An 18,849-nucleotide genomic window follows, 5' to 3' on the forward strand; every position below is an offset into this window, starting at 1 on the left:
AGTTAAAGGATACAAAATTAAATACCATGCAAACAAACACTAGACACAGACTAGAATGTCTATATTAATATCATACAATGTAGACATCAGGATAAGCAATATTATGAAATAATATGAAGAATTTTATAATGAAAAATTAGAAAGTACATCCAGAAGATATAACATTTTCAATCTGTATACAAACCTAATAACAGAGCTTCAACAATGCCTGAAACCAAAGTTGATAGAACTGAAAAGACAGTGAGACAAATTCATAATTATAGTTAAAAGACTTCAACATTGCTCACTCAGTAATTATTAGAACAAGTCAGCAGGTAATTATTAGAACAAGTAGTAAAGGTATAGATGACTTTGATAACGTTAAAAACCAACTTGACCTAAGTGAAATGTTTAGAATAGTCCACTCAACATGATAATATGCATTCTTTTCAGGTGCACAGGGAAGACTATATGGTGTTATATTATATTATAAGCTATAAAAGAAGTATCAATAAATCCAAAAAATCTGAAATTATTCAGAGTATCTTCTCTGAAAAAATTAAATTAAATTATAACCAAGAATACAAATATTCTATGTGAAAACATCTCCTAAATTTGCAAACTGAACAACACACATCTATATAGACTGTGAATTAAAGAATAAATCACAAGAAAAATTAGAAAATATTTTGAACTGAAATATAATGATATCAGAAAATATTAAAGCAATTGTGGAAAGGAGCTAAATCAGCATGTAGCTGGAAATGTATACTATATTATAAAGTGCTTATGTTAGGAAACAAAAATCGTATAAAATGAGTGACCTGAGCTTTCATTTAAATAATCTATAAAAAAGAGCAAGCTAAACCTGAAGGGAATAGAAGTAAGAAAGTAATGAGAGGAAGCCAATGAAATAAAAATTAGACAAACAAAACAGAAAAATCAATGAAACTGAAGCTGTCTCTGTAGAAATACAAATAAAATTTATAAACTCTTAAATAGACTAATAGCATTTTTTAAAAAGAAGAAACAATTCCAATAATTTAAGGTAAATGGGGACATCACTACAAATCCACAGAAATTTTAAAGAGTAATAAATAAGGGTCAATAATAAACAAAATTATGCTAACAAATTTGACAACTTAGCTCAAATGAATAAATTCTTTGAAAGATACAGATTATCAATATTGACTCAAGAAGAAATAGAAAACTTGGATAGTCCCATATCAATTTTTAAAATAAATCCTTAATTAGAAACATCCACACAAAGAAAACTCCAAGCCAAGAGGACTTCATTGGTGAATTCCAATACATATTTATAAAATAAATAACAATTCTACGCAAACTCTTTCAAAAAGAGAGTATGGAGGAAGATTTCTCTAATCATTTCATGAGGACTCTTTTACCCTTACCCAAAACCAGACAAAATATTACAAGAAAAGCATACTTTAGACTGATATTTTTTATGAAAAAAACACAGAAAAATCCTTAATCTTTAGTAAATTATAATCATCTAGATATAAAAAGGTAGTATATTATAAAAAATAGATTTCAGACTTTCATGACTGGCTTAACATTTGAAAATTTACTGTATGATCAGAATAAAGAATAAAAAATCTAGTCACGTTTCAGTATAAACACATATTCATATGTGTGACAAAATTTAACTCTTTTTTATGATTAAAAAATCTTATAAAACTAGAAATAGAAGAAAATTGCCACAATATTATACAGATTACCTATGAAATAGCTGCAGATAATATCATAATTAATAATGAAAGACTGAATTCTTATTCTCTAAGTTCTGGAATAAGGAAAGATGTCAGTTCTCACCACTTCTATTTAATACTGTTACTGAAGTCAAATAAAAGTCATACAGTCTACAAAAAATTAAAGCTGCCCTTATTTGCAGACAACATGATCATGTAAATACAATGTCCTAAAAAAACAAAAAAAAAAGTTATTAGAACTAACAAGTTAATTTTAAAAGATTGCAGAATACAAGTTCAACATTCAGAAATCAATTTAAATCTATACATCACAAAGAAACAATTGAAAAATAAAATTAAAAATACAATACCCTTTATGCTATCATCTCAAAATATAAAACTCTTAGGACAAATTTAACAAAATATGTACAAGACCTCTAAACATAAAACTGCAATGCAATGCTGAGAGAAATTAAAGGTCTAAATAAATTGAGAGATATACCATGTCCATGGATTGGTAGACTCAATACTGTTAATGGCAATTCTCCCATAATTGGTCTACATTCAACACCATCCCAATCAAAATTCTGGCAGGCTATTTGTGTAGAAATTGACAAAATACACCCTTTAATATAATGAATTTTATTTTTTGTGAGTTATGCAACAATAAAGTTGATTTTTGTAAAAATAATATATATTTATACAGTATATTATGTTATAACATATATTATTATATTATATGTAATAATATATATTATTATATAATATGTAATAATATATATTATTACATATTATATAATATGTTATAATATATATTATTGTGTATTATATTATATATAATGTATATTATTATATATTATATTATATTATATATAATGTATATTATTATATATTATATAATATATATTATTGTATATTATATTATATATAATGTATATTATTATATATTAATAATATGTATTATTATATATTATATTATATCTAATATATATTATTATATATTATATTGTATCTAATATATATTATTATATAATATATAATATATATTATTATATATTATATAATATATAAATATATATTATATACAATGTATAATATATTATATTATAATATATATTATATTATATATTATATATATTTATCTATTATATATATATAACAGTAACAACTACAAAAGTAAATCCATTAAGAAGTTAGAATAACCTCTTCTGGAAGAGAAGAAAGGTCAGAAAAACATTATGAATTCAAAAATTTACCTAAAATAAACTAAACTTGAAAACAGAAATAATGAGTCACCTGGGTTAGCAAAACTGCATTCCCTGCTACTAGGTAGAAGAGAGAGCTAATGAGCTAAGCTAATTTCAGTACTAAAAAAATTACTGGAAAAGTTACATTTTTGCATGCATGAGTATTTTGCCTATGAAACATGATCTCTCATCCCTTGTTAATGAGGAGGATATCTATTCCTCCCACTTCAGGCATGAATATCACTATGCTATTGGAAGACTTGGTCCCCAAGATTGCTTGAATGACTATGTAAGGAATTGGAGACTAGAGCCAAGATTAAATTCCGATATTAAACCCAGTGCTTCAAAGGACCTAAAAGAGCATTTGTGCCTCTGAACTGTACAAAATTTCTGAGAAAGAATCTGGTAGCCTTCAGTAAAACAGGCAGGAGCTTTCTGTTTTAGAAGCCCTCTCTATTTTCAGCATGCTTTCTGATGGTTTCTCCATACTTGCAGTGCTGAGAAATGAGCATATACATCAAACTTTGCTGTGCCTACATCAAACATAGGGACTTTCAGCTTCTTTGATCTTGATACTATTTATAATTTGTTTTGTCTGAATTTTAGGAGCACTTTAAACAGTTACATTGCTGTGTATGGAATTAGATATCTCTTTCTGCTGCAAGGTAGGTAAAATGCACCATATTATCATGAATGCAGGGCTGTATACTTCTACTCATGAACTCTCAAGGTGTTTGTTTTAATCTCTTCTTCTTGACTGACAAGATCATGTGTTTAATATGAATTGTTACACAATATCTTAGTGACATCTGATTGTTTTTTTCCACACTTGGAGAGAGGCAGCCTCTAACTTTGAAGGAATATCAGCAGGTAAACACGAGAACATTACTTGAAAGCATGAGACAAAGCTTCAAAGCTTCAATGCTTCAGGGTGCCTAGGGAACAGTAAGCAACCACACAATAAGTATTACTGAATTCCAAGATAAGAAGGCTTGTGGAACACCTGAAAAAATAGGTAAGGATTCCTGAAGGAAAGTGCACCACAGATTATTTCAGCAGCTGCATCATCCAGAACTTGAGCAATATTTTCTTATGTTCAGTCTTCAGGATGAGCAAAACACAGCTTCCAAACTCACTCTAAGCAAGTCTCAGACGGAAGATGATAGGAAGGAGGTGATCTTTGGTAACATAATCAAGTTGCTCAACTTGGTGCTGGTGAAGCCTCTTTCAAGATGGTTCACTTATACGGCTGGAAGTTGATCATGACTGTTGGCTCAGAGCTCAGCCAAGGCTTATAGATCAGTGGGCATTGACTCCTCTCCACGTGAGCCTCTCCACAGTTGTTTAGGCTTCATCACAGTATGTTGGCTGGGTTCTAAAAGACAGCAACCCTCAAAAAACAAAATTAAAATGCATGGCAGTCTTTTGATCTAACCTCCAAAATCATATAGTATCATTTCTACTGGACTCTCTTGGTTGAAGCAGTCGGGAAGACCCACCCAAATTCAAGAACAGACACAGACACCACCTCTTGATGGGGGCAGAGTTTAATATTCCAGAAGAGGCTGTGATATGGAAAATACAGTTGCACTCATCTTTGGAAGATAATCTGCCAGATCAAATAACTTTGAGAACTATTCTCCATTTCTCCACTTCTCTATGCACTCTATTGTATGATTTCTTTTTTACACATGGAAAGTAATACTGTACACCATTATGCACACATGAATAATGTAATGGAAAAAGTAAAAGAATATCCTCTCTGACCTTGATTACAAAAGCATTTTATTTTTAATTTTTGTTACTTGTTTTTTGCTTAATACTCTCATTGTATAGTCAAAGGTTTTATAAACATCAATTCTCATCATGGATGGGATAAAATAAGTGACAACATCACTTTACTTTACTTACCAATGGCAGATAGTTCTATCTGAACCCAAATCTTTCCTCTAAATTATTCTCAACATATTTTTCCATAAAATCACCACTAATCATTGATGGTTAGCATATGTGAAAAAATGATTTTGCCATCCTAGTACAGTTTGATAATGTAGCTGCCTGGACCAAGATGTTAAAAGCAGGGGAAAATCTGAACCTAGATGGGGGAAGGAGGTAGTAAGAACTTAAAATAATATGTGGAAACAAAATGAATCACTACATTACCCCCAAATAGTTGGTGAGAGAAGAGCCAGGCTATAATATGACAGGTTCAATTCAGATTTAAGATGAGATTGGGGATATCTGTGGAGACACAATGTGGGAAAATCTAGGTGAGGTATAGTTAGGGAACTTAAGGGTTGCGTTATAAGGACACCAAATTCAGAGTAAGACTGTGACCAGAATTCTGCTCAAACAGGTGTAGTACTAACCTCAAGGATGGATTGATGAGAACCAAGCAGTGGTCAGCACTAGCCTTCTAAATGAAGATCACAGGCAGGACTCTCCTTCAGGGGTTCCCATGTAGGGAAAGAGAAACCCTGAGCAGGCGCCTTCTCCCGGCAGAACAGGTTCTGTCCTAGCTATCATGCCAGGTGTATATAATAATATCCAAATTCTTCTAATACCTAGGTAATGCTGATATTAGGCTCTCCCTCTTCTGCGCTAGTGTTTTCCGATTGGGTGTGCATGTCAGACTAATCTAGAAAGCATTAAAAACAAACACACACACAGAAGACTGATTTCATTTAGCTTTTGGTTGATCTCACAAGCCGTCAACAAAATTTGAGTCAATTGAAGTTAGCATTAAAATAGAAGAAATGTTCTAAATAACCAAGGATAAATGAAACAAGGAATATGCAGGATGTTCATGAAGAAAAGTCACATATTGTTGACCAAAATAAATGAAATTGCAAAAGAACATGTTCACTCTGACACATTTTGTACAAAAGTTTTAAATATGCAAAACACTATATATATAGTTATGGACAAATAAGTATGCTGTGAAATTAGAGGTTAAAAATGCACAAAACAACACAAAAAAGACAGTGCAGCATTATTATTATTGTTATACTTTAAGTTTTGGGATACATGTGCAGAACGTGCAGGTTTGTTACATAGGTATACATGTGCCATGGTGGTTTGCTGACAGTGCAGCATTTTATAATGGTGGTTACTTTTGAGAGTAGAGGGAAATTCTGGTGGAGGAATGTGCCTGTTTCTATAAACTTTTAGATGTCAATTTAAAAATATTTGAATATTTGACACAAAAAACAACATGTCAACATTTGATCACTATGTCTAGTTTTAATTTTCTCTATGAAATAGTTATTATTTAAGTGTAATCAATAAACAGAAAATGATAATGATGGAGAAACGAAGAAGATGAAGTTGAGAAGGAAAGGAAGGGAAGGAAGGAGAAGAGAATGAAAAAGAGAGAGAAGAATAGAATAAGAAGGAGGAGAAGGAGGGAGGGGAGGAGGAAGAGAAAAAAAAGGAAGAAAGGAATGAAGTCCCCAAATATTCGTAAGAAAAAAAATGTTTAATTCCACTTGGATCTGTGTTGAAAACTTGACAGCCTGTTTACGTTTCATTTAGACAAAATAAATGCTGAGAATGACCCCAGAATATAAAATAAATAATTAAAAAGGTGAAATCTACCCTATCAGATGTCAAATCATACTATACAGCTATGGTAATTCAAACACAGAACAAAAATAAGACTACAAATTATTTAAAGTGTGGGGAAGGATTATTAAATAAATATGACATGGATGATTGGTTAAATATACAGGAATTATAACAAGGCAAATGTCTCCTCCCTTACCTCATAAAATTTACCTAATTTGATTTAAATTGATCAAAAATTCAAATATTAAAGAAGAAGTAGTAAAAGAATTGACAAAAAACAATAATGCATCTGATTCATCTCAGGGTAGAGGTGCCCTCATTATAAAAGCAAAGGGAGAATCCATAAAAAAAAAAATGTTAGGGCTGGGCGCTGTGGCTCAAGCCTGTAATCCCAGCATTTTGGGAGGCAGAAGTGGGCGCATCACTTGACATCAGGAGTTGAAGACCACCCCGGCCAACATGGTGAAACTCTGTCTCTAGTTAAAACACAAAAAAATTAGCGGGTCATGGTGGCAGGTGCCTGTAATCCCAGCTACTCGTGAGGTTGAGGCAGGAGAATCGCTTGAACCTGGGGGGTGCGTAGGTTGCAGTCACTGCCACTGTACTCCAGCCTGAGAAACGGAGTGAGACTCTGTCTCAAAAAAAAAAGAAAAGAAAAAAAAGAAAGAAAAAGAAAATGTTTGGGAGGTTTTAAAAATTGTAATACCTGGTTCTGATGTGGGTATTGTGAGATGGATACTTTCTTACAAACATTTTGGCAACATGGATTAAAACCTTAAATGATAATATTCCCTTCAAGTCAGTGGTTCTATTTCTAAGAATCTAACCTAGTAAATAATAACAAATGCACACAAAGATTTAAGTATATGTATATTCATTATATGATTATTTGCAGTATTCCAAAGTGGTTAACAATTCATACACCCAATGATAGAAAATGGAGAAGTACTCTCCATACAATGCTAACTGGCAAAAAGGAAACATAAGAATAACATGGATCTAATCACATAAATAGAATGTATGTAGATTGTGAGTCTCTGGAAATTATTCCTGTTTGTCATTCTTCTTTACAGATGTATGTATTCTACAATTAACATGAATTATTTTATTTTTCATTTTAATAAATTATGTTATTAAATTATGATATATTGATTTTAAGAGTCAAGAAATACATAAAGAAATGTAAATTTACTAAATGCTTTCTTTCATCCCACCCTCCTATCCCCATGTTCCAGAAGTTTATCCGAGTTTATTGTGTTTACTTTCAAAGACAACTGTCTTTGGATATGAACACATATCTATGTTTGGAAACATCACATAGATATGTGTTCATGTGTACAGTGTGTGTATACATATATGCCATACTAAGACACTAACGTAAGCTTCCTGTGTGCCAGGGCAGTTTTTGGTTTGGGGAACATGGTGATTCACTTATGATGATCCCAGCCAATGGTTAATGTGGACACAAACACAGATAATTCTGGGAGGCACTAAAATAAAGTTAGAAAGTTAGACTCAGGAACTTAAAGTTGGATTTGATCCTTTTTTTTCTCATCAGTGTATATTTTCTTTTCTTTTTTTGTTTTATTTTATTTTTTTTTAGGTTCAGGGTGTACATGTGCAGGTTTGTTAGATGGGCATATTATGTGATACTGAGGTTTGGGCTTCTAATGAGAACGTGATCTTTTCTAATGATGAGATATGAGGTTGGAGGTTGAAGGTATAGAAAGGCTTTCTGGAGGAGCCGGCCCTTGATATGGACACTGAAAAGAGAGATAGACTCTCCAGGATACATTAATCTCAGGTGGAGATAGAGAAAGGCTATTTCTGACAGAAGGAGGAGACTAAGTTGGGGAAGTTGAGCACAAGATCAGGCCTGCTGGGCCTGGAAATTATGGAAGATGTTAGTAAAAGCTAAGACAGTGGAGGTTGTTTCAGGGCACATCACAGGGGATCTAGACGTGCGATGTGGATTCTGAATACCTGTCTTTCCACAGTAGGAGGTCTTTGTGGTTTTGAGCAGGACGATGCTGCTGCTGACAGAGACAAGGACAGATTGAAGAGGGCAACCAGAAGGCAGGGAGTTAAGTCAGCCAGCTTAATTATTAACGAGATGAGGAAGGCCAGAACTAGAGCATTTTTAGTGTAAAGGGAGGAAAGGGAGAGAAATTCGGAGAGATCATGGAGGGCAACACAGCAGGGTTAGAAAGCTAAGCTGTGCCTGGGATATCTGACTCCCAGGGGTCATGGTCAGGAAGGATGGTAAGAAAGAGGGCTTACCCCTTCTTACATTTCAGACATATGTTCAATGTAATTCAAACTTTTTAAAAGACTTCTTGTTGCTTTTTAACTTCCCATGTCACGTTCTCCATAGTCACCCAAGTCAAAGCCTGAAGAAACCAAAGAGACATTTCTAGGAGAAGTTGAAAAATGGTGACTGGAGTCACCTCCAGTGGCCTCCAGCTTTGGTGCATTGACTCCTTACTAGAAAGATGTAGGGCTTGCTGGAAAAGCAATAGGTGTATCAACAGGTCAAATGCCCTTGACCCTGCCAAAGAAAGAAGGACTGACAATGAAACCCACATAGATGGGGACATTTCAAGGGCCCATATTTCCTAAGAGTCTTTAGCCTGCATAGGGTTCCACTTGCCCCTTCTGATCTCTGTATTTTTGCCTGGACTTTTCTATGGTGGTGGTCACAGCTGAAGAGGCGAATATTACTATATTTTGATCTTGGTAACACAGTAATTAATTATTTTTTTTAATGACCTGTTACCATAGAGATTAATAAGCAAAAGCTCTAATACTACTAGCCTGCCAGGGAGTTCACACATGTGAAATACTTAGAATAGAGTGACACAGAGAAAGCACACCATATATATTGGCTATGGTTTGTATTCAGATTAATGAAAACATCACACTTCAGTTCTAAAGGTGTCTGTTTCAGCTTCTCTAACCCTCCAGCCTAGACTCAGTCCTGTATTTGCCCTGAAAACATAGGTAAGCCTGGAATGACTCTTGGTGTCATAAACTTGGGATCCCCTGCACCCATTGTGGGTCTGTCTGTGGCCACTCCAGCCATGATTGTGAGGTCTGGATGACTCAGGCCTGCTTTGCACTCAGCCAGGCACCTTTTTTAGAACTGAAGCCCTATTCTGACCTCCAGTCCACTTGGCTTGGGCCCTGACACCTGTCTGGCCTTAAGAACCTCTCTGCACACATTGATGCCATTCTCTGAACCAGGCAGCCTGACCCGAGCCTGACCTGGCTTGACTGCCACTCCTAGGAGAATTTCTGCTGTCCTCTTCTGCCTCAGATCAGACCCCCTTATATTTTATTTCCGGACTGACTCAAGTCATAGTCACCATGCTCCTTTCTCGTTATTCAATACAAGCCCTGTCCCACCCTGACTGCCTCCCTTTCCCAGTGAGCAGATGCTTTTGAATTCCCAGCCTGATCGCATTCAAAGCGTGAGATGGGGGATCTTAGAAATCCAAACTCCCCATTCTATGGATGAGAAACCGTGGCTCAGAGATGGGAAGTGCATTCCTCCATCTTACACCCTGATTGTAGGACAGACAGAAGGTAAAATCCCAGCCCCTGGGAACATTTGCCTTGGAATATTATCACAATTCCAAAAAGGCTATGGCTTGCTTCCTCCACTTGTCCCCAGGTAACCTCCAAGAGAGTTTCTTTCTGAGACAGTACTTAGCAAGTAATTCCTTCTTACAAAAGTAGTCAAGGTCCTCAGATTTACAAACCCCTTCTCTCCTTCTGGCATTCCGGGGTTGTCAGGATATTTTGGTCTGTCAGTAACCTCTGGGGCTGAAACAGAGGAAGAGAAATCATTGGAATCTTTGAAGCAGAAACAGCAACATCAAATGTTTCCTCTATGTCCTGTGAGTTGGCAAAACTGCAGGTGTAGAACCAAGGTATCCACATGATTATTTCAAATCCCCACATCTTCTTGACTTTTTAACAGAGCCTATTAATTGATACACTGAGATAATTGACACATTAGTAGGAGTCTCCCTGGCCACTTCCAGTGAACTAAGCAAACACATGGAAAGTCTGACCTAGCAGGTCTGTGGTCCACTGGGACTTGGGAGTCCTTCCTATTCCCAGCGTGCTGCTGAGACTATTGGGATTACATTCCCAGTCTTTGGCATTTCCATACATGAACAGATTCTGAATGAAGCCAAAATCAAGTACTAGAGGATTAAGTCCCGGAATTGCAATAATTTTGAATTCCATCCCCTCCATCTATTGACACACGGTTTCCAATAAGTCATACAACCCAGACTGCAGTGTCCAGCTCTTAAAATTTTAAAAACAAACAAAAACAGAAAAGCCTCTGTCTTGCTTTATCCATGGAATTTAACCATCTAGATAGAAGACCAAGTACACAAAGGTGCTTTGAGCATTGTAAAAATGTAACAAAAACATTCCACTTCCTTTTTAATATGCCATGCAATTCTTTCAAGGATATCGGAAAATAGAGGATGTAAAATGAGGAGGGGTAGTTGACATACACAGTCTCAAATGTTGCTTCCTCATCTGTAAAATGGGAGCAAGAGCAGTGCCACTTCATAAGGATGTTTTAAGATCTAGAACATAATGACAGGCATATGATGACGATTTTAAATTTGAGTCGTGTTTGCAAATGAAATCCAGAACATTCCCTGCTGCTCCAGCTGATCTTGGGAGGCATTCCAGTCTCTTTACTGCTCTCCTGAAACAGCGAGGCAAGGTCCTTCCCTGGATTCTGCAGTGTTTTAAAGAGAAATTTCAAACTTTCCCGGGAGGCTTTTCTAAAGGGATTATGTCAACTGAAGGGAATGAACAGGCAAGAAACAAGCAGCCATGCCACTTGACAAGATGAGGGTGGCTTCCTACCTTCAGCTCATTACACGTAGCCTGGGAGCCCCTTCCCAGTTCCCATCACACCTTCCCATCAGGGAGGCCATCTCGAAACCGTGAAATGCTGCTCTCCTCCAAAGGCATCAAGTCTCCTCAAAGTCTGAAACCAAAGTGGAAGGACTAGGAGGCTCCTTGCCAAGCCTCCTAAGATCACATTTTCTGGCTGAGTATGGCCTCCTCCCAGACATTTAACATTGGGCGTGCCTCCCTCTTTCAGGGAAGGTTGGGCCCACCCACAGGGACATAGATTTACCAAAGAGGCATAAATGAACAATGATCAACACTCTGCAGCACAGAACAGAGACACACACAATGGAAGAGTTGGAAAAAAATTGTTTCCCTAGAGAAGCACTCTATCTATGCAAATAGCTAGGACCACTATCCTTCTACCTAGGTATTTTTTATTTTCTCTGCAAGAGACAAAAGTGGCAGAAAATGCCTCCAAAGAAAGAAATCCTAAGCCTCAAGAAAAAAGATAAAAGGGAAGGAAGGGTGTTGGAATACAAAAGCTGGAAAAAGAGGTTGGCTTTTCAATTTGGGAGTAAACTATATTCATGGTCCTTAAGAGAGGATGGCCTGTCAGTGAGAAACAGGAGACTCTGGGAAGACAGAGGCATGGGAGAAAGATCGTTCCAAAATGTGTGAGAATTTCCTCTAACTTCGTTTTCTTCTCTCCCTAGCCAGCCTGCCTCCCGGTATATGCATATATGTATGTATATGTCTGTCTGTCTATGCTAAGGCAAGATGAAGGGAGAAAAGCCCTCCTGCCATGGGACTTTACCAGCGTCCTCGCATAGCATTCATAATAATAACCCCATCACTCATCAAAAGTGCTCTGCAGGCCAGGCCTCGCCGGGCCTGGGCAATGCTCTGATCCCGCAGCCAGCTCAGGCTATAATTGCAAACACCCTGCCCCCGGGAAGTGTCAGGTTATGTGAAGACACTTGGGCTTTGCTGGTGTCTGTAAAATGCAAGTTCAAGGGGACTTTTTAACATCAGAAGCAAAAATATGAGAGTCAAGAGACAGGTCCCTTGTGCCCTGCAGAAGATCACAGTAGAGATAAGAAGTGGGAGGCAATTGCTCTGAAGGTGGGAAAAATAATTTGAAGGCAGCAGAACAGACACAAGGTAATTACCGCTCAGACACAGCACAGGCAAAAAGGCCCTTGCTTTTAGGGAAACAAGAAGTGAACAGACCAAGCCAGGAGGAGAGGCCTGGCTCTTATGAGTTGGGTGAATTGTCAGTGTTTACTTCCTGATAGGAAGGCAGGGAGAGAGAGAAAATGACCCCCCAAAGGCCCTCTCAAACTTAACAAATTTGTGAGCCAAGTTAGGTATGAGTTTTTCTCAACTTTTCGATTCGGTTTTGGAAGGACAGTGTGCATGTGTAAGTGTGCGTGTGTGTGTGTGTGCATGTGTAAGTGTGTGTGGTAAGCTGGAAAGGTCATGAAAACATGAAGGAAAATGGTACAAGAAAGAGATATCAAAAATGCTACCTCCTATCTGATTCTAACTTTATGACATTCTGGAAAAGGTAAAACTATGGAGAGAGTAAAAGCATCAGTAGTTGCCAGAGGTTCAGGGACAGGGAGGGAAGGATGAATGGGTGAAGCTCAGAGGATTTTTAGAACGGTGAAACTCTTCTGTGTGATACTGTAATGCAGGGTACACGTCATTATACATTGCTCAAAATCCTAGAATGTACAACACAGAGTGAACCCTAACATAAAGTATGGACTTCAATTAATAATGATATATTAACATTGGCTCATCAGGCCGGCGCCGTGGCTCATGCCTGTGATCCCAGCACTTCAGGAAGCCGAGGGGGGTGGATCATTGAAGTCAGAAGTTTGAGACCAGCCTGGCCAACATGGTGAAACCCCATCTCTACTAAAAATACAAAAGTTAACCAGGCATGGTGGTGCACACCTATAATCCCAGCTACTCAAAAGGCTGAGGTAGGAGAATTGCTTTAACCCAGGAGGCAGAAGTTCCAGTGAGCCAAGATTGGACCACTGCACTCCAGCCTGGGTGACAGAGCAAAACTGTGTCTCCAAAAAAACAAACAAACAAACAAACAAGCAAATATATATATATATATAGGCTCATTAATTGGAACAAAAGTACCCTTGTAATGAAGATGTTGATAATGGAGTACTGTGTGTCACAGGAAAATGGGGGACTATGAGAGTGGTCTTTATTTTCCACTCAAATTTTCTGTAAACTTAAACCTGCTCTATTAAAAATAGTCTATTAATTTAAATAAAAGAGAGAGAGAAAAGATGTGTGTGTGAATGTGGGATCAAACATTTAAATAATCCCTTACCATCCCAATAAAAAGTTGACAGTTTGGTAATCAGAGGAAAATTGGGTATTGTGGCCCAGGAAAGAGCCTCAGAGTAAAAATCTAGAAGTACCTGGAATTCAACTTGGGTGTAGTTTAATTTCATCAAAATCCAGGAAAATAGTTGAAGTCATCCTACCCCAGCAAAGAGAAAATGAAGCGTCTTCCCCGTGCGGCTCTGCAGCAGGGCTTCCTGGACTCTCTGATGGAGGGCGGCTTTCATGTTATTGTCATTTTTTTGTTTTCATTCCAGTCTATTACCCTACTGATACGTTTATAAAATAAAATTGAAATGAGTCACAAGAAAAGAATGACAGTGCACTTGGGTATTAAATTCTTGTTGAGGTCTTCTTACAAAGGCTTATTCTCATAAGTAGCACTGCACTGGAGGAGAGTCACTCTACTGAAGACCCTGGCACTGTCCAAACCCAACAGTTAGCAAACACAAAGAAATACAACAAGGGAATGCGGTAAGTATTTCCCAGGAATGTTTCTTGTAAAACAAGGGCACCATCTCTTGTCTGAACAATTGTTCTGTTCCCTAGCCTTGCTGTCTTCCAATGTACTCTCCTACAGCCATCAGAGACATCATTCTAAAATACAGATGTAACTGTGCCACTTTTTGGCCTGACACCAGATAGTTTTTTGGGTATCTCGGGATGACCTGCGCGTTGTTTAGCACCTTATTCATAGCAAACTGGCCCCTACTTGCTTCAGTACCGGGTGAACCAAGGAAAGTCCCAACTGGGTTCTCAGGCTAAGCAGGAAGACTGGGGTTTGACCCAAGTAATCCCCAAGAATTAGCACCCTAGTCCACTAACATATACTACCAGGTGTGGGCGGGTAAGCCGAATTTAAAACCACTGAGTCAAGAGTAGTCACTTAGCAAATTCTCATAGTCGGGTGGGGATGGTGAGAAGCATCTTAGAATGCCCACCAAAAGAATTTCATTTGGGACAAAAGGCATTCCATGTAAAGGGGCCAGAATGAACAATGGCATGGAAGCAAGGGATAGTGTGGAATATTCAGGAACCCTCAAGACATCCTATGCATTTTAGGTAGGGAAGAGCCTCACAGCTTCTTTTAGTAAAGAGAGTGGCAATCATTACTAATTACTGCAGAAATCCTCAAAGTTGACATTCTCTAAGTACCTGTCATGAAGACATCCTCTACTTGCCTCAAATTGGCATATTTGGAATATGCTTTAATTATAAGAACTTGCCAGAGACTGGGGAAAATCTATAGAGGAAAGAGAAGTCAAATGTTCTGAGTTTTAATGTTCACATCAATCCAATGGTGTGGGCTTTCTCCAATTTTACAGATGAGGAGACTGAAGTCTGAGAGAGGACAGTGATCTCAGACAGTCACACTGAGTAAGCAGCATAACTGAGTTTCCAACTGAGGTCTACGTGCCACTAAAAGCTGTGCATTTTGTACAAGTTCACCACTGTTTATGCACGTAGGTGTGTATGGAAGGTGGTTATTGAGAGGAGAGAGGAGAGTAAGAGGCAAAGAGTTACACATTTTAATCCTGTGTTGGCAAATTATATATATATATATATATATATATATATATATATATATATATATATAAATTGAACTAGTTAATAAAAATTTATTTGTACAGAGTGTTTTTTGTGTCAAACACTAAGTGCTTTGTATGTATCATCCACTTAATTCCTACGGTAACTCAGTAAGCTTGATGTGGCAGATTGTATTATATTATTGTCCCCAATTATTCACTGTCTTCTCTGTAAAACTATCATGTACTCCTGCCCATTGTTTGTATGACTTATGGTGTTGCCCTGTAGGCAGAATATACTTTCCTACCCTAATGATCAGATGGGCCATGTGACTTGCTTGGGCCAATGGCATGAGAACAGATGTGCTGCTTGCCATGTCTTAAAGTTTCTCAGCTCATAGCCTGGGTCTTGGAATAAGAAATCGCATGGAGCAGGGGCATAGCAGTTGACCTGCAGCTGAGTGACAAATGAAAGTCATAAGTCAATGAGATACTGGGGGTGTTTGTTACTGCAGCCAGGCTGATGGATACAAATGAGGTATTTTACAAATGAGGAACTGAAGTTGGGGGAGACATCTTTGCCCAACTCCTACCACTTGTAAGTAGTGTCTGGATTTAGATCCATTTCTATTTGACTTAAAAGTCCATGCCATTTTAATTAGAATTCAAAAACCTCCTGCAAAGTCCAAATTGTTTAAAGTAGATCACATGAGGTCACTTCCCAGACAGGAAATAAAGACACTGCCTCTGGAGTCTCGGCATGTTCCATGTTTCCTGTGGCTTCTCCATCCTTCCAAGCCCTGAGAGATTCCAGCTCGAAGCATCCATTTTGTTACCTTAATGATTTCTTAAAAGAGAATAAAATCTCTGACCCTACCACCTATTCGAAGCATTCTGTAACAACCTAATAATGGGGCTCCCTCCCCCCAGTTGTCCCCTTAGAGACTTATCCACACTACAGTTAGGACAAGTTTTTAAAAATGATCTTGACACTCCCTGGCTTAAAACCTTTTGGTGGCTTCTCACTGCTTTCAGAATCAAATCCTAAATGGCCTGTCTCTTGCCAGCCTCCCCTAATATATCTTATAGTGTGCTGTTCCTTGCTTATTATGTGCCAGACATAATAACACCCTTTTAGCCACCAAATGGGCCTAGCTGTTTTTCCCCAGCTCATAGCCTTTCCACGTGGGATTCCTTCTATCTTGACCACCCTTCCATCTCCTCCCTACAGCCTCAACTCAAATGTCAGAAATGATACTTCATATAGTGTTTCCCAAATCCTTTTCCATAACCTTCATCTGGGTCACCCAAAAAAATGTATTTTCTTGCCTGCTTAACATTAGATTTGATCATGTGACTAATTCTGGGCTACCGAAATGTAAGTGGAAGTGAGGTATATGCAGCCATCCAGGCTGCACCATCCTCCAGACCCCTCTTCCCCTGCCTCAGGTCCTCGGCATACCACTTACTTTCATCTCTGCTATGCCACTATCTTTGCTTTACTTACGATATTTGTCACCATCTGGAATTATCTTCTTAATTCATTGGTACCAGATCATTTTCCCTCTACCATGCAGACTTAAAGCTCTAAGAAGGAAGGGCCTTTGTCCATCTGTTCAGTTGCATCACAGTGCCCATCACAGTGGCTACATATAATAGATGCTCAATTAATATTTCTGAAATACATAAATATATGAGGAAATAAATGAATAGAGCTCTTGCAAAAATGAGTTAATTTATGTAATTAGTACAGTGCCTGATAGAAAGTAAGCACTCAGCAAATGTATCTAATTATGAAGATGAAGAATTGAAACAAAAGGTCTTTCCTTTCATTTCTGTGCTATGGAAAGGAAGGAACAAAGATGAGGTTAGGTCTTGGGACCAAAGGTCTACAAGGGGCAGTCTCAGTCTTGAATATAGAGGTGGCCTGGGAGAACAGTTACTAGGGAGTAGACAGTGAGAGTGGACTCAGCTTCACAAGTCAGAACTTCTTTTCATAACAGCAACATGATGCTGGAATTATTAGTAAGGGTCTGGTATGCCAGGGCCAGGACATCATAAACCTTCTGCATCCACATCACAGAGCCTCTTATAAGAATTGCTCCATACGTTTGGTAGACATTTACTGGGCTTAGACTGTGGGCAAAATTTTGGCTGGATTCTGCAATTAAAAGATAAATAAATTACCACCCTTGCCCATAACAAACCAGAGTGAGAAACAGACATGGAAACAAATAATTAAATCCAAAATATGACTAGTAGTGTGATAGCAGGATGGACAAGAGGATACTGGAGTACAGAAAAAAAAAGAGTGCCTCTGTCGGTGCAGTCAGGAAGACTTCAAGAGGCAACTTCACAGATGGACCTTAAAAACAAGTATGTTTCCCAAGAAGACACAGTGGGAAGGGCATTCTAGGAAGAGGGAACAGTATATGTAAGGCATGGAGTCATTATAAAGTCTTCACAAATCTTGGAAAAGGTAGGAAGTTCTGGTGGTTTAAGCATAAGGTAAGTACCTCTCACAAGTATGGGAATGTGTGGTTTTGCTTTCTCCATTTGAAAGAAATGTGGGAAATAGACAATAAAATTATGCACAGGAAAAAATGAATCTACTGGTGAAAAATAAAAGATTTACTGATTGTTTTTGAATATACTGTTTTGTTGTAGTGTGTTCATTCAAGCTAATAATAGAGATAATTTCTGGCATCTAAACTCTTTCAGGTTCTTTCTTAAATGTATTGCTCAAGCAATGTTCTACTAGTAAAACCGAAAACTCAAAGTTAGAAAAGAATGACCCAGAATACCAAGAACCTAATAACCCCGTGTTCATATTCCCAAGGCTTCAGTTTGACTGACCCATCCCTTTCCCAGGAGACTGAATGAATGAAAACAGGACTTGACTGCATTTTAACTATGGTAGAACACTGCAGGGGCCCCTGAAGGATATGTATGGAATACCTGTCCTGGAGAACATCACCTAGAAATAGATTATGTATAAACCTGCCTGAAAGAGAGCTGGCCATTGTCCACTCTTGAAGTTGTAGATTTCCAGGATAAGGAGAATCAGTATACATCTCTAGTTCATGGATTTTTTATCTTGGATCCAGACATATAGGACCCTCCTTGTCTGCTGTGGATGGAGTAGGGGGTGTCCATGGAAAGTGTTTTGGAATCCAGGAATCACTTGAAATTGTATGCCAAAATTTTTTTTTAAGTAGACATGTGCATTTTCCAGGGAAAGGGTCCTTTGTTTACTGGAGAGTTTGTGTATGATTTAAGTTTGAAAGTTTTTCTAGTTGTTTTCTGTTCATTCGCCAGATCACATGGAATCAACATGTTTTCAACTTATTGTTCTGAAGCCTGGGAACTGAACAAGCCTGACTCTCAGTTCTTGGCAAAGGATAGAGCATTTTCCTAGGCAGTCTTTCAGAAAATCCTGCTATTTCTCCTTCCAAAACACATCTCAAATTTGTCATGTGTCTCCATCTCCATCACCAAGCCCCTGGCCACCAAGCCTCCCCATCATCTCTCACCAGAACAAATGCCAAAGACTTCAAATAG

The 18,849-nt window shown here is 37.7% G+C and overlaps 1 long non-coding RNA gene across 2 annotated transcripts; it reads right to left on the reverse strand.

The window, feature by feature from the left end:
* Positions 1-2,314: 2,314 nt before the first annotated feature.
* On the reverse strand, positions 2,315-16,964 carry LOC105372617 (uncharacterized). 2 transcript variants are annotated; one of them, XR_001754593.2, is made up of 4 exons: positions 16,796-16,964; positions 10,233-10,327; positions 5,099-5,176; positions 2,315-4,310 (listed from the first exon to the last, which is right to left on the reverse strand). It is a non-coding gene; the product is annotated as an uncharacterized LOC105372617 (long non-coding RNA). The 2 variants fall into 2 exon arrangements; XR_007067585.1 differs by lacking the exons at positions 10,233-10,327; positions 16,796-16,964 and adding an exon at positions 5,305-5,962 and having other exon boundaries at positions 2,315-5,176.
* Between the last annotated feature and the right edge of the window lie 1,885 nt (positions 16,965-18,849).

Source organism: Homo sapiens, chromosome 20 (genome assembly GCF_000001405.40).
Source record: "Homo sapiens chromosome 20, GRCh38.p14 Primary Assembly".
Lineage (NCBI taxonomy): Eukaryota > Metazoa > Chordata > Mammalia > Primates > Hominidae > Homo > Homo sapiens.